Source organism: Homo sapiens, chromosome 15, assembly GCF_000001405.40.
Source record: "Homo sapiens chromosome 15, GRCh38.p14 Primary Assembly".
Taxonomy (NCBI): Eukaryota; Metazoa; Chordata; class Mammalia; order Primates; family Hominidae; genus Homo; species Homo sapiens.
The window spans coordinates 43,417,696-43,434,135 of record NC_000015.10 but is presented as its reverse complement, the minus strand read 5'-3'; the positions used below and the strand labels follow the sequence as shown (position 1 = coordinate 43,434,135).

The 16,440-nt window shown below is 41.2% G+C and overlaps 1 protein-coding gene across 11 annotated transcripts in view; it reads left to right on the top strand.

Annotated features, from left to right (window-relative positions):
* Positions 1 to 16,440, top strand: part of TP53BP1 (tumor protein p53 binding protein 1) — a 107,580-nt gene that overhangs the window by 76,505 nt on the left and 14,635 nt on the right. For 8 of the 11 annotated variants that reach the window (XR_007064488.1, NM_005657.4, XM_047432994.1 and 5 more), the window contains 5 exons: positions 1,459 to 1,942; positions 5,968 to 6,120; positions 12,010 to 12,281; positions 12,962 to 13,111; positions 13,401 to 13,831. Coding sequence is in view for 10 of the 11 variants with exons in the window: in NM_005657.4 (NP_005648.1) it covers positions 1,459 to 1,942; positions 5,968 to 6,120; positions 12,010 to 12,281; positions 12,962 to 13,111; positions 13,401 to 13,831 (1,490 nt within the window). In the remaining variant the exon portion in view is untranslated. Of the gene's footprint in view, positions 1 to 1,458; positions 1,943 to 5,967; positions 6,121 to 12,009; positions 12,282 to 12,961; positions 13,112 to 13,400; positions 13,832 to 16,440 lie in introns of those variants that run through there. The other 3 variants (NM_001411050.1, XM_047432998.1, XM_047432999.1) reach the window with 2 other exon arrangements.

Below are 16,440 nucleotides of genomic sequence, written 5' to 3'. Positions count from 1 at the left end.
ATTCAGTTGAGGTTCCTGAGAGATAGGACACACACTATAACAACCAAATTTATACTAAGCTCTTCTTGGCTAGAACTCTATTTGAAATCCCTCTTTGAGCTCCTGTTCTGGTAGGCTGAGCTAAACAATATAGAAACCTCAGAAACTTCTTTTTTCCTTTTCCTTCAAGATCTAGAGCAGAGCAATCCCTGAAGAGCACTTCCTGCTTCCTTTACCCTGTCTACGTAGGAAAGCTGAGATCCTAAGGATAAGAGCTTCTGTCAAATAGGAGACAGCCCTAACTCTTTTTCTGGCCACATACTTAAATCAACATATGACATAGTTTCTAGGCCCCTTATCGTCCTTCATGTTACCTTCTGAGTTTATCTACAGTTTATGCCTTGTAAACTGTCATGCCGAGAACTGAAACAGATATTCCAGATGTGGTCTTAGCATGGTCAGTTCAGAATGGATTCCTTTTATTTTTATTCTGGCTATTGTGCGTGTAATGGAGCCTAAAACTGCATTATGTTGATTTAATCTGAGTAGATTTTGCAATTAATTGATTCAGAGAACATTCAGTCTTCTGTTCAAAGTACATGTATTAAGCATCTATTTTATATTAAGCTGTGAGTTAGGTGTTTTAAATATAAAGATAGATAAGACATGAATGTCAAATTTCTGTTGACTTGGAGTTAGCCTGGACGTTTTTATTCTGGAGAATTGTTAGGGATATTTAAGAAAGCTCCTAGTCACTTCGGAAATCGTGGTATGTGGTTTGTAGGAGACATTCAGCAAATGCTTGTGGAATAAAGGAACGAATCACTGATACCCAAATGGGATGACTTATGAAAAAAAATGGGCTGTATCTTAAGAACTGTCTTTGAGAAACCAATTCATTCTGAAATGTTTAGTTGTAGATATATCAGTATAGCTGACAAAACTAGAATCTACCTACAGCTTTATCCTTTGTAAGTCAGATTTTCTTTCCTAAAAATATTGCTCAGGTGGGGATAAACAGTATCTAGAATGCTAGGAATCAGTTAAGGAATGTTAGAACCATCATAAGGCCAGATAAGACATCTTGACTTAATTGATCTTTTTTCAAAATAGATCCCTAAGTTGCCCTTCATTGTCTATGACTTCAGTAATGGGTTTACATCTTTTTGTTTACTTCATTTTCCTGCATCAAGTTTCAGAGTTCATAGCTAGTGATGGGAAGAAATTTTATGACTCTTTTATCATCATGGTGGAATTGTTCTATCTACCATTATTTTTTTTACAGGAGTGAAATTATAATGAGAGGCCTCCCAAGGTGATAATGCTTGACTACCTGACTTTCTCCCTTCCTTACATTTCTCAAATTGTCAAAATATGGCTCCCCCCTTGCCACTACACACACACATGCACACGCACACACACACGTTCACACATACACTTGCTTAATTGACATGGCTTCTTTATATGTTGCATTTTCAGGGGGAACTTGCTCCACTTTCCAAGTTCTCAAGGAGAAGAGGAGAAAGAAAAATTGGAGGGTGACCATACAATCAGGCAGAGTCAACAGCCTATGAAGCCCATTAGTCCTGTCAAGGACCCTGTTTCTCCTGCTTCCCAGAAGATGGTCATACAAGGGCCATCCAGTCCTCAAGGAGAGGCAATGGTGACAGATGTGCTAGAAGACCAGAAAGAAGGACGGAGTACTAATAAGGAAAATCCTAGTAAGGCCTTGATTGAAAGGCCCAGCCAAAATAACATAGGAATCCAAACCATGGAGTGTTCCTTGAGGGTCCCAGAAACTGTTTCAGCAGCAACCCAGACTATAAAGAATGTGTGTGAGCAGGGGACCAGTACAGTGGACCAGAACTTTGGAAAGCAAGATGCCACAGTTCAGACTGAGAGGGGGAGTGGTGAGAAACCAGTCAGTGCTCCTGGGGATGATACAGAGTCGCTCCATAGCCAGGTGAGAGAACATACTAGGGTGCATCAGAGGCCTTGTTTTTAACTTTCAGGATTCTCAGAGAATTTAAGTTGTGGCATGTCTGCCTAATGACAATTCTTGACAGTTTTGTACAGAACAGTGGTTAAAAGACAAAAACAACTTTTCTAAGATACAGATATGGTAGTGAAATTGTGGGTAGCTATAGCCATTAGATAGTCTTTTAGGGAAAATGTAGTATTGCTACAGTTTTTTAGGTAGGTCTTTACTGGAGAAGAAAGCCAGAGATTCTGCCTGGGTCCTGTAATACTCTTCTACATTCACTCTTTTCCTTCTCCATACTTTTTATCTTGCCTTCTAACCATCAGATCTAATTTTCTCTCCCTTAAGTCTATTTCATCATGGTTCTCAGGAATTCAGAGAGTAGAAGGTAAGGGGGAAAGAAGCAGCACGAAGAATAGTGTATTTCAGTATATGAAACAGAAAGAATGGTAACAGGAATAGAGAGAGAGATGGGGAAAAGTCCCCAGGTGACCAAGAACTGCAGAAGAGAGGCTAGACTAGAAGCTAATGTGAAGAAAAGGATTGGGGCTGATGAAAACGAGGCTGGAGGAGTATCAGGTTCCAGGGAATAGAGTAGGGAAGTGTCGGTACTAGTAAAAATTAAGTAGGTGGCTGTGCCTGGTGGCACATGCCTGAAATCCCAGCGCTTTTGGAGGCTCAGGTGGGAGGATTACTTGAGCCCAGGAGTTTGAGACTAGACTGGGCAACATAGTGAGACCTTGTCTCTTAAAAAAAAAATTGAGTAGATGAAAAGAAGTCGTAGAAATGTATGTGTTAACAAATACGTAGAAGTTCACAACATTTCATTGAGTGGCAGAGTGGGATCTATGGCAGAGAAAATTTGGAAGTTACTAGTAAACAGTAGTCTCTGCTTATCAGTGGTTTCTTTTTCTTGGTGGTTTTAGTTGCCCATGGTCAGCTGCAGTCCAGAAATACTAAATGGAAAATTCTAGAAATACTAAGGTTTAAATACTGTGCTGTTCTGAGTAATGTGATAAAGTGCTGTCCCTCTTAGTCCTGGCTAGGATATGAATCCTCCCTTTTTCTAGCATATCCATATGCTATATATGCTCCCTGCCTGTTAATGACTTAGTAGCTGTCTTGGTTATCAGATCAACTCTCATGGTATTGCATTGCTTGCATTCAAGTAACCCTTGTTTTACTCTCACCCCAAAGTTTGAGAGTAGTGATGCCGGCAATCTGAATATGCCAGAGAAGTAAGTCATAAAGTGCTTCCTCTAAGTGAAAAGGTAAAAGGTCTTAATAAGGAAAGAAAAAAAATCATATGCTGAAGTTACTAAAATCTGTGGTAAGAACAAATCTATCCATGAAATTGTGAACAGTATATTGTTATAGTTTATCTTATTATTAGTTATTAATCTTTCTGTGCCTGATTTATAAACATTATAGGTCTGTATGTATAGGAAGAAACATAGTGTATAGGGTTTGATATTATCTGCAGTTTCAGGCATCCACTGGGGGTCTTGGCACATATCTCCCTCAGATAAAGGAGATATTGTAGTGGTCAAATTGCTTTTTCAGTTGCTGTGGTAGATTATCTTCATTTGGGATCTACTTAGGAAATCTTCATTATTGATATACCTCTCATTTTGATTGTCCAAGTTGTTTGTTTTGTAAAAATAAAATACAGTTCTTATTTATTGAACACCTGTGGCACATATGGGATATGAGCATTGTGTTCAAGACAATGATATATTTTATGTTATGCAGATTTTACCATAGTAAAAATATATAGATGGTGTATAGAATAACAGAAATTGAAATTGGTGTGCCATCTTTTGAAGAGAGGTTAGCAAATGAGAAAGGCTGTATGCAAGTTTTCCAGGTGTCGGTGCTTTTTAAAAATCCCCTTCAGTGTAGATAGGACATAGGCTAGTGCTAGTGGAAAAGCATAGGCAGCCTACTTTGACACTCCTGAAATTTTCATTTATATGTCAAAAAGGACGTGGAACCAGGTGGAAGGGAAAGTGTGGTTTTATTTTCATTTTGTTTCCTTCCCTTAATGGTGGTAAGATCATCAATTTATTTATTTTACAGACACCTCTTTTCAGAAGAGTATTTGAAGTGAGTAAACATAGTTTTCTGTCTGCCCTCTTTACCTTTTCTCCTTATTCTCTCAGACACGCTTAAGTGTCTGTCTTGAAGTGATCATTCATATGGCTGTTGTAACTGGAAGAATACAGGGAAGCTTCTTGGCTGCATTTCAGGAATATGTAAAGCACTGAAACCTTTTAGACTGACTTTCTCTTTAGTGCGGAATAGTCTGATTGTGTGTGCAGGCAGGAAGTACAGGCTGTCATAGTTCTCATGCATGGGTACCCTGATGATTGAGGTAGGACAGACCTGTGCTTTAACCATTCATTAGACAGAGTTGTGTCTGTGTAGAAGTATGTAGAAGTATTTTAAATAATTGGATGAGTAGCGTTTCATGCCTTTGATATTATTTATAACTAGTCACATAATTTACATATCTCCATTTTAGTAAATATTTCACCTCTGCCAGTTTCCAAGTTGGAATTGGAGTGGGGATTATTCGGAGAAATTACTGAAAGCTTTTGGTAAATTACTACCACATGTCAGGAAAAAAATGCAGAATTACCATTATTGCATTTGTATATGTAATTCTTTTTAAAGACTTGGCTACTTTGATACTGAATGCTGAAAGTAAAATCAGCCTACCATAGGGGAGATAAGGTGAGAGACAAAAGTGTGCATTTTCTCTTCAGAATTACGGAGTTAGTGGGGTGTAGGAGGGAGGATAAAGATGTGAAAAAATGTGATATAGTTGTTATTAGAAAACATGTATTTTTTCAGAAATGCAGGACTGAAATTCTAGCACTTTTTTTTAGCCACAGGCAGGTCCTAGGTAATAAAGGCCGAAAGTCTCAAACTAACTAATGATTCGAGGTGGTAAATAGGGCTTTAAGACCTAATTTGCTAAGAAGTTATCTTTTAAAAATTATTCAGATCTGACTAAAATATGAACTCGGGCTGTCTGTAAATAGAAAATTATGAACAAGAAATAATGAAGCTGGATGCTATGTTAGTTAACTCAGTTATTCTTTTGAATAGCAGTAGTTGTTATTAGTTTGTTGTATTTTTGTAAATAAGAAATAGTGCATTTGAATTTTTTCAGTGTTGAATGAGTTTTACCTGTCCTGAATTTTCCAGCAGTTATTTGTCTAGTATAGTACCTGGCACCCTTAAGTTATTCGATAAATATTTGCTTAATGTTTTTTGAATGAAAGAAGCTCAATCCTCCTAAGTAATATTATTTAATAGTTATCATAAAAAGTAGGGTCTTATTTAGCCCTACATTATTCTTGTAGTAGAACTAGATATAAAATCTTAATTTGCTAATTTTTCCATTTCTGGACACTAGCTCAACTCTTTAGTCATAATCTGTTCTTTGGAATAGATGAAATATTTTATATTTAATTCTAGGAGAGATCAGTGTATATTGTTTTAGGTAATAAACTGTGGTTTTCACTTTAATACAGGAAAAACAGATAAACTGAGATTAACAGATACATCATTCTGGTTTTATATAAAGGACTAAAGAGTGCCTTCCTTTTATCTAAAGAGCTATTGCAAATGTAAACTCGTTTACTAATTTGCAAGATAGCATCAGAATTAGAAGAAATACGGTTTAAAAATAATGAACTTTTAGGGGTCAAAGGTTCACCTAAATGTCCGTAAATACAAGTACTAGATGTAATGATTTTGATTTAGACAAGAATAGGTCATTTTATTAGGTCATGCTCATATAAACTTCTCTTAGCCTCTGGCTATATAACTCATCCATCCCTGGTCTTACCTATAGGTGGATAAAACAAAACAGTAGGAAGATTCTGTCACACTAGATTCATGGAGCCTCTAAACAGTTCTCATCATGAAGCATAAGATTTGTGATTTTGACAGCTTGCAGTGAGACCTGTGCTTATGTTCTGTATTTTCTGTCACAGGGAGAAGAAGAGTTTGATATGCCTCAGCCTCCACATGGCCATGTCTTACATCGTCACATGAGAACAATCCGGGAAGTACGCACACTTGTCACTCGTGTCATTACAGATGTGTATTATGTGGATGGAACAGAAGTAGAAAGAAAAGTAACTGAGGTAATACATACTCTGAGTCTGTGTGGCAAATTTCTTTCTTTCTTTTTTTTTTTTTTTTGGAGACAGGGTCTTACTTTGTTACCTAGGCTGGAATGCAGTTGCGTGATTTTGTTTCACTGCAGCCTCTGCCTCCCAGGCTCAAGTGATCCTTCTGCCTCAGCCTCCCTTGCAGTTGGTTCTACAGGCATGAACCACCAAGCCTGGCTAATTTTGTTTATTTTTTGGATGGACAAGGTCCCACTGTGTTGCCCAGGCTGATCTTGAACTCCTAGGCTTAAGTGATCCTTCTGCTTTGGCCTCCCAAAGTGCTGGGATTACAGGCATGAGCTATTGTCCCTGACCCCACATTTCTTTCTATAGAAAAATTCTCTTGACTTTCTACCCCATCCCGCTTTCCTGTGCAACACTTTGTTTTTCTTCATCTTTTTATTACCAGAGATAGAAGAACAGGGTTAGAAGTTAGACTTCCTGCTTTCTAAAGCTTTCCCCAGCCATAGGTTTGCTGTTTGACCATTGGTTAGTTATTTAATGCATCCCATCATGCTTTCCTTTTCTGTAAAGAACAGACTGATAAATCTCTCTCATGTATAAAGATTGTATGTATTATTTTAAATCCTTAGAAACTCAAATGGAGTTTAGAACACTCCGTTTCAAACTACCTGTGTTTTCTCACATATTTTCATGTCTACTCATTCTGTTCTTTATTTGTCACTATCTGTGTGTGGTCATAGACCTGTTGGTAAGAAATGCACCTTTATTTTTTAGTGGGATTCATTATAGACTCATTACAAATGTCAGCTCAGTATTGGCATTTAGTGACTGTTTGTTATCTTGAATGGCATACTATGCTGACTTTGTTTACATCTAATAATGAGAGAGATTAGACAGATTTTCTAGAATTAAAGATCTGGGACCTTTGTTGGTATATGTTAAGATCTGGGAACCATTTTATTGGTTGGTAAGAGGCACAGCTATTTTCTTTTTTTTTTTTTTTTTTTGAGGCAGAGTCTTGCTCTGTTGCCCAGGCTAGAGTGCAGTGGTGCAATCTCAGCTCACTGCAACCTCCGCCTTCCTGGTTCAAGTGATTTTCCTGGCTCGGCCTCCCAAGTCGCTGGGATTGCAGGCACCCGCCACCGTGCCTGGCTAATTTTTTTTTTTTTTTGTATTTCTAGTAGAGACGGGGTTTCACCATCTTGGCCAGGCTGGTCTTGAACTCCTGACCTTGTGCTCAGGCCTCGGCCTCCCAAAGTGCTGGGATTGGAGGTGTGAGCCACCGCGCCCGGCAAGGCACAACTGTTTTCTTCCTTTACCCAGATACTTTCCTTTAATTCTATCTGCTGGCCGTGTAGGAGGTTGTACTCAGGGAGAGTTAAACTCTAGTGTATAGTTTTATTAAATAGAACATATTATTACTATTTTTCAGTGGGCTATTGTGGCCCTCATGTCAGATAACATTTGATGTTAGTTTGAGGAATTGTTGTTTGTTTTACTATCCACAGATTATTCAGATTTCATTGGTTTTACAGACACTCATTGAGTAATTGTTTTTTATTCCTTTTTTTTTTTTTTTTTTTTTGACACAGAGTCTCACTCTGTTGCCCAGGTTGGAGTGCAGTGGCCTGATCTTGGCCTTCTGGAGCCTCTGTCTCCTGGGTTCAAGCGATTCTCCTGCCTCAGCCTCCTGAGTAGCTGGGATTATAGGTGTGTGCCACCATGCCCAGCTAATTTTTGTGTTTGTAGTAGAGATGGGATTTCACCATGTTGGCCAGGCTGGTCTCAAACTCCTGATCTCAAGTGATCTGCCTTGGCCTCCCAAAGTGCTGGGATTACAGGCGTGAGCCACTGCGCCCGGCCTGTTTTTTATTCTTTGTGTATACCAAATACCAGAAATAATTCTTTTAAAATACTGCTTTATCTTCATTTTAAAAATATTTTTTGTTTTTTTTTTTTTGAGACGGAGTCTCGCTCTTTGGCCCAGGCTGGGGTGCAGTGGCGCTACCTCGGCTCACTGCAAGCTCCGCCTCCTGGGTTCACGCCATTCTCCTGCCTCAGCCTCCCAAGTAGCTGGGACTACAGGTGCCCGCCACCGCGCCCGGCTAATTTTTTGTATTTTTAGTAGAGACAGGGTTTCACCGTGTTAGCCAGGATGGTCTCGATCTCCTGACCTCGTGATCCGCCTGCCTCAGCCTCCCGATTAAAAATGTTTTAAAAAGATTTTTGTTCGTGGAACTTTTTTCATGTTATTACTATTTTGGAGAAATTATGAAAAGCAGTTTGCCTTCATGAAAATTTTTGTAACTGTTGTAGTCCACATTAAACTCTGTGCCTAGTACACTACATTAAGTGTTAAACACATTACTTCATTTCTTAAAATATATTTTTTATTTTTATGTTTGGAGACAGGGTCTCGCTCTTTTGCCCAGGCTGGAGTGCAGTGGTATGATCACAGCTCACTGCAGCCTTGACCTCCTGGCTCAAGGGAGCCTCCCACCTCAGCCTTCTGAGTAGCTGGGACCATAGGCACACGCTACCACATCTGCTAATTTTTGTATCTTTTGTAGAGATGGGGTTTCACTGTGTTGCCCAGACTGGTCTTGAACTCTGTTCTCAAGTGATCTTCCTGCCTTGGCCTCCCAAGGCAATGGGATTACAGGCATGAGCTACTGTGCTGCTAGGCCCATTTAGTATTTTATATGGTGCTTTCTAAAGTATATTTCTGGAAACAGCAGGCCTCTTAGACAGTTTGATGGAGGGAAAAGGTTCCATGGTCCTGAGAAACATGAAACGCTCTCTTAGTCTGTTTTCTGTTGCTATATTTAAACACCTGAGACTGGATAATTTATAAATAAAAGAAATTTATTTCTTAGTCTAGGAGGCTGGGAAGTCCAAGGTCAAGGGGCTACATCTGGTGAGGGCCTTCTTGCTGGAGGGGACTCTGAAGAGTCCCGAGGCAACACAGGGTATCACATTGCCAGGGGCCTTACAAAAGAGAACCAAATTAGTTTTTATAACAGACCCACTCTGGTGATAACTAACCCACTCCTGTGATAACTCATTAATCTGTTAGCTCGTAATTCCGTTAATCCATGAATGAACTAATCCATTCATGAGGGCAGAGCCCTTATGACTCAATCACCTCTTAAAGGTCTTACTTCTTGGTACTGTTACATTGGGTATTAAATTTCAACATGTGTTTTGGAGGGGCAGACGTTCAAACCATAGCACGCCATTAATCCCTGTCCCCACTAACATGAAAATTCACATATTACCATATTAAAAGTTCTAAGAAGTCCTCTAGTAAGGATACCTATTTTATTCTGTTTAACCCAGCACTTCCCAAACTTACATGACCATTAGCATTTTTTAAAGTAATACCTGTTTTTTCCCTATGGAAGATAGTTTGGGAAGCACTACTAAACTTAAATAATGATAGTGACTAGCGTTTATTGAGCACATACTATGTGCCAGGCATTATTCTAAGCACTTTAGTGAATTATTTAATTCTTAACAACTATTCTGTGATAGATCCAGTTATTATTCTCATTTTGCAGATGTGAAAACACAAGTGTATCTAGTTAAAATAGGCCACTGAGAATGATGACAGAAGTAGGAATGGGGAAGGTAGAGAGGTTATGAAGCTAAGGTCTTCATGCATGAGAGAGGGTGATTTGGAGAATGTTAGTGGATAACAACTAGGGAAGGGGTGAAGATAGTTTTAAGAAAGTGGCAAATAGTGGTTTTGAAGGAGAGGAGGTGGGGAAATAGAAATGGTCTGTAAATGGCAGTGGGGAGCAAGGAGGTATCTCATCTCAAAATTCTTGAATGGAGGTTCGGCTGAAAGAAACCAGTCTCTGCTAGAAAGAGCTGTAGGAGATGTGAGATGCACTGGGGATATCTAGGATTTATTCATTGAAGGCAGAGAAATGGAGGGAAGATCACAGATTGTTTTGGATCTGTTGAATTTCAGGTGTTTGTGGTAAATCCAAGGGGAAGACTAGTAGAAATTTGTATAAGCTGAGTCATCATTGTATTCTTGGTAGCGAGGTAAGGATGAGTGTGGTGAGACTGACCAGGGAAAGCATGTGAGAGTGAGAAAAGGAATAAAAACAGAGTCCTGGGAAATACCGATTTTAAAGGAACACACAGAGAAAGAGGAACCCAAAGAAGCATAAATAGAAGTAGCCAAAAAGGTAGACTGAAAGAAAGAGAAAAGTACTTTTATGGATTTTAAAGGAGGAGAGATTTTCAAGAAGGGAGGGATCAGAGATAATTATTTCATCATTTTATAGTATTATCTAAATGTATATGTATGTGTGTCATTATATACAGTCTCCCCATGGGGATTTTTTTTTTTTTTTGAGGTGGAGTCTCACTCTGTTGTCCAGGCTGGAGTGCAGTGGCACAATCTTAGCTCACTGCAGCTCCATCTCCCAGGTTCACATGTGATTCTTCTGCCTCAGCTTTTCGAGTACCTGGGAGTACAGGAGTGCACCACCATGCCCGGCTATTTTTTTTGTGTTAGTAGAGACGGGGTTTCACCATGATGGCCAGACTGGTCTTGAACTCCTGACCTCAAGTGATCCACCTGCCTCTGCCTCCCAAAGTGCTGGGATTACAGGCGTGAGCCACCATGCCTGGCCTCCCAAAAGGAATTCTAAACTCTTTGAGGGAAGGATCTATCTTATACATCTCCATATCCTCTCTGGCAATTAACATAATATTGCGTGAACATTCTAGACTAGGAAGGCAGATGTGTCATACTCATGCTATAATTTCTCTATGCTGTGCCCATAGCGAACATTGCTGATTGGTCTTAGAATCTTTTCCCACTAAGTCTGGGATTTAGCCTCCAGAAGGCTTCTTAAAACTGAGCACCAGGCAGCTACTACCAATTTATCAAAGTAGGCATCCGAGATAAAGCCAGTTTGACTTTCTTGTAGTCTATAGATACTTATAACCTTTTTGTCCTTCATTTTTCCAAATGGTAATACTATTTTAGCCTTTTTTGTTGTTGTTGTTGTTGAGACAGGGTCTCATGCTATTACCTAGGCTGGAGTACAGTGGCATGATCCCGGCTCACTGCAGCCTTGACTTCCAAGCTCAAGTGATCCTCCCACCTCAGCCTCCCAAGTAGCTGGGACTACAGGTGTGCACTCCCACGCCTGGCTAATAGTTTTATTTTCATATGGAGACCTGTTCTCACTATGTTGCCTAAGGTGGTCTCAAGCTCCTGGACTCAAGCAGTCCTTCTGCCTTGGCCTCCCAAAGTGCTGGGATTACAGGCGTGAGCCACCACACCTGACCCCTTTTAGCCTATTTTTGCATATACTTTTCTATTGCCTTGATCAGTTATTGAAAGGTAATGTAAAATAACCAATGTCAAAACATGTAATGCTGTCCACTGTTAATGAAGTACCTAGAAGGGCTCCTGACCACTCATTTTCTCCTCTCACCTGCCTACCTCCTTCCCTGTCTTCTCTCAGATAAGAATTTACTTCTGTCGTCTAGGTTAGAATCTTTGCTGGTAGCCAGAGGTTGTGAACTTATCCAATAAAAAGATAAACTCTTTCTTACCAATATAGTACCATGTTTATTTTATATTTTATTGAGATACAGTATAGTCCCATTAGAATGAACAATTCTTCTCAGAATCACCTGGGGGAGAAAAAAAAAAGAACAGATCCTAAATGTTCAGTTCAGTGGCTTTTGAAAATTTTATCTAACCACTACTCAAAACAGATACAGAACATTCCCATTATTCCAGAAAGTCTCCTGATTCTCACCTTTTTGAATTATAATTTTGTGCCATCTGTAGGATTTTCCAACCATCATATTAGCATTGTGTTATTATGGCATCTTTTATCTTCTGTATCTATTTTTTCCTTGCAGGAGACTGAAGAGCCAATTGTAGAGTGTCAGGAGTGTGAAACTGAAGTTTCCCCTTCACAGACTGGGGGCTCCTCAGGTGACCTGGGGGATATCAGCTCCTTCTCCTCCAAGGCATCCAGCTTACACCGCACATCAAGTGGGACAAGTCTCTCAGCTATGCACAGCAGTGGAAGCTCAGGGAAAGGAGCCGGACCACTCAGAGGGAAAACCAGCGGGACAGAACCCGCAGATTTTGCCTTACCCAGCTCCCGAGGAGGCCCAGGAAAACTGAGGTGCAGACAGGGTCTCCAGAGAGAGAGAGCCACAGCAGGGGCAGGGTTGCTGACATTTTAATATCACAGGAAAAGGGGAGTAATGGGAAATCCCCCATCCTCCATTAAAGATAAATCAACTACCCCTCTTCACTATTTGCTCTCTTCCTGTTTTGGGTTTGTGTGGGAAGTAGGGTGGAGCCCTGTGGCAGGTAGACTTCATTGGCAAAGCAGCCCCTGAGAAAATGTAGGTAACAGGGGAGGGGACTTTCGGGAATTTATCATCTGGTGGGCACTGCTTCTACCACAGCCTTTATATGATTTAGTTGGGAGTACAGGAAGTTTGGGATAGTAGCCCAAACTTAATGCATCTCCTAGCTTTTTGTTATTCTTTGCAGGTGTCCAGAGCCTAAAGTAGAGGAGAAGGCATAGCAGAAATTGGGTGTGCTGTTTTTGCAGCAGCAGTAGGAAGCTTTGTCAGAGGGAATAGACTTACATGAAGGAGAATGTCCTTTACTTGTTATCCCACGCTCCCCACTCCCTGCATGAGATTTTGGTGGTGGGTGTGTGAACCAGCTTCCTGCTGCCCCAAAGGCTCAGCACATGTAGGCCTGTCATGTAGTCTGAGGGCCAAGGGGAGACTTTGTGAAGAAAAGATTCAGTAGCAGGTGCTATCAGACTAACTTGTCTTCATTCTCTAGTCCTAGAAAAGGGGTCAGTCAGACAGGGACGCCAGTGTGTGAGGAGGATGGTGATGCAGGCCTTGGCATCAGACAGGGAGGGAAGGCTCCAGTCACGCCTCGTGGGCGTGGGCGAAGGGGCCGCCCACCTTCTCGGACCACTGGAACCAGGTACCTGGGTAGTGTAAGATATACTTAGTCTGTTGTTCAGAAAACAAGGGAATGGAGGAGAGGGGAGTAGAGAGTTTGTGGGGTGTCAGGAGGGAGAAGAGGGGCCATACTGACTGGGGAGTGGGCAGGGATCAGAGTGAGGCCACAGAGAGACCAGGCTCATGCCTGTGATGGGGTTTTTAAAGAATGGGCTGAGGAGACCCATGGACAAAGGAGTGGAAAAATTGGTAGATATATACTTCTGTGTTCTTGTTCTCACCGGCTTCTCCTATCCCCTATCTCTCTTTAGAGAAACAGCTGTGCCTGGCCCCTTGGGCATAGAGGACATTTCACCTAACTTGTCACCAGATGATAAATCCTTCAGCCGTGTCGTGCCCCGAGTGCCAGACTCCACCAGACGAACAGATGTGGGTGCTGGTGCTTTGCGTCGTAGTGACTCTCCAGAAATTCCTTTCCAGGCTGCTGCTGGCCCTTCTGATGGCTTAGATGCCTCCTCTCCAGGAAATAGCTTTGTAGGGCTCCGTGTTGTAGCCAAGTGGTCATCCAATGGCTACTTTTACTCTGGGAAAATCACACGAGATGTCGGAGCTGGGAAGTATAAATTGCTCTTTGATGATGGGTACGAATGTGATGTGTTGGGCAAAGACATTCTGTTATGTGACCCCATCCCGCTGGACACTGAAGTGACGGCCCTCTCGGAGGATGAGTATTTCAGTGCAGGTAATGAAAGAAGCAGAGTTTGTAGAGATTTTTTTGTGCCTTGGGGCAATAATACTCTGTTATGTTAGTAGTTACCAAGACATTACTTGGTACTTTTCCAGTGTCTCTAAAGTCAGAAATTTCATTCCTACAAAATTGGTTACTCTTGCCACTGACTTTTCTGTTTGTTCATTTGTTTTTGAATAAACTTATTTTGGAATATTTTAGATGATTTACAGAAAATTTGCGAAGTACAAAGTACTGCTAGTACAGAGAGTTCCTGTATACCCCTCATCCAGCTTTCCCTATTGTTGACATCTGGTGTTAGTATGGGACGTTTGTCAAAACTAAAAATCCAACCTTGGTGTATTACTATTCACAAAACTTTAGACTTTATTTGGATTTCACTAGCTTTTCCATCATGTCCTTTTTCTCTTCCAGCATCCAACATTGCATTTAGTCATCACATACCCTTTGGTCTGCTCTGATTTGTGGCAATTTCTCAGTCTTTTGTTTTTCATGACCTTGACAGTTTTGGGGAGTCCTGGTCAGGTATTTTGTGGAATGTCCCTCCATTTGGATTTGTCTAATATTTTCTCATTAGACTGGAGTTATGGGATATTTTAAAAATAATGCCACATAGATGGGTGGGTGTGGTAGCTCATGCCTGTAATTCCAGCACTTTGGGAGGCCAAAGCAGGGGGATCACTTGAGGTCAGGAGTTTGAGACCAGGCTGAAACATAGTGAGACCCTGTCTCTCAAAAAAAAAAAAAAAAAAAAAAAAAAAAGGAACATAAATTAGCTGGGCATGGGGGCACATGCTTGTTGTCGTAGCTACTCAGGAGGATGAGGCAGGCGGATTGCTTAAGCTCAGGAGTTTGAGTCCACAGTGAGCTATGATCATGACACTGCACTCCAGCCTGGGAAACAGTGAGACCCTGTCTCTTAAAAAAAAATATGCCACAGAGGTGAAATGCCCTTCTCATGTTATCATATAAGGACCTGGGAAGGTTTGTGATGTATCCACATGACATCACTGATGCAGGATGTTAATCTTCATCACTGGTTAAGGTTGTATTTGCCAGATTTCTTCACTTTTTTTTGAAACAGTCTCACTCACTCTGTTTCCCAGGCTAGAGTGCAGTGGCGCAATCTAGGCTCACTGCAACCTCTAGCTTCCGGGTACAAGTGAGTCTCCTGCCTCAGTCTCCTGAGTAGCTAGGATTACAGGTGTGCCCCACCAGACCCGGCTAATTTTTGTATTTTTAGTGGGGATGGCATTTCGCCATATTGGCCAGGCTGGTCTCAAACTCCTGAGCTCAGGTGATCTACCTGCCTTGGCCTCCCAAAATGCTGGGTTTGCAGGCGTGAGCCACTGCAAGAGAGGGACAGGTGGCCTTCTCTAAAGTTAGTGTTTTTCCCTTTCCATACTCTCTTCTTTTTTAAAGCTTAGCTACCTGCTTTGATTGGAACCCAGTAGGTGATATTGAGATATTTTTGCTTAGGGAGAAGTTTTTAGTGCTGTGTCTGTATGACTGCACATCTACCACTTATTCTCTGGTTTGAAGAACAGTGCCTTTTTATTTTTGAAGTAGGTAATATTGGTGATAGTGAGAGGTTTATGCTTGTGGTTATGCTTGTTGTTATTGTTTCATGTGCTAGTTCTTTGAATATATTGTCTCCTTTCTATGGAAATAATTTGAAGATACCTATTTGTGTTGAGTTTGTCATTTAAAAACATCTTTCTGAGGACTTTTTGAACATGGATTGGCATATAATGGGGGAAAATGGCTTTCTTTCTATCTTTTTTTTTTTTTTTGAGACACAGTTTCACTCTGCCTCCTAGACTGGAGTGCAGTGAGTGGCGTGATCTTGGCTCACTGCAACCTCTGCCTCCTGGGTTCAAGTGTTTCTCGTGCCTCAGCCTCCCGAGTAGCTGGGTTTACAGGCACGCACCACCACACCTGGCTAATTTTTTTTTGTGTTTTTCGTAGAGATGGGGTTTCGCCACATTGGCCAGGCTGGTCTCGAACTCCCAACCTCAACTTATCTGCCTGCCTCAGCCTCCCAAAGTGCTGGGATTACAGACGTGAGCCACCATGCCCAGCCAAAAAATGGATTTTTTTTTTTTTTTTTTTTTTTTTAAAAACAGAGCCTTGCTCTGTCGCCCAGGCTGGAGTGCAATGGCACGATCTTGGCTCACTGCAACCTCCGCCTCTGGTGTTCAAGTGATTCTCTTGCCTCAGCCTCCCAAGTAGCTGGGATTACAGGTGCATGCCACAACACCTGGTTAATCTTTGTATTTTTAGTAGAGACAGGGCTTTGCCATCTTGGTCAGGCTGGTCTTGAATTCCTGACCTCAAGCCATCCACCCGCCCCAGCCTCCCAAAGTGCTGGGATTACAGTAGTGAGCCACTGCTCCCGGCTGGAAAAATGGCTTTCTGTTGGAGTCCATCCAGGCTTCTCTTGTATTTGGAATCCTCTGAGTAATTGTTGTTTGCCCTTTGTTCATTATTAAATGGGCCACTTCACCTTCTAGTTCTGGATAACATTGTTAGCTATATATGGGATCAGTTGGGAGTAGCACATGGATTGGGGTCTTTTATTGTGACTCATAGTTTGTATGTAT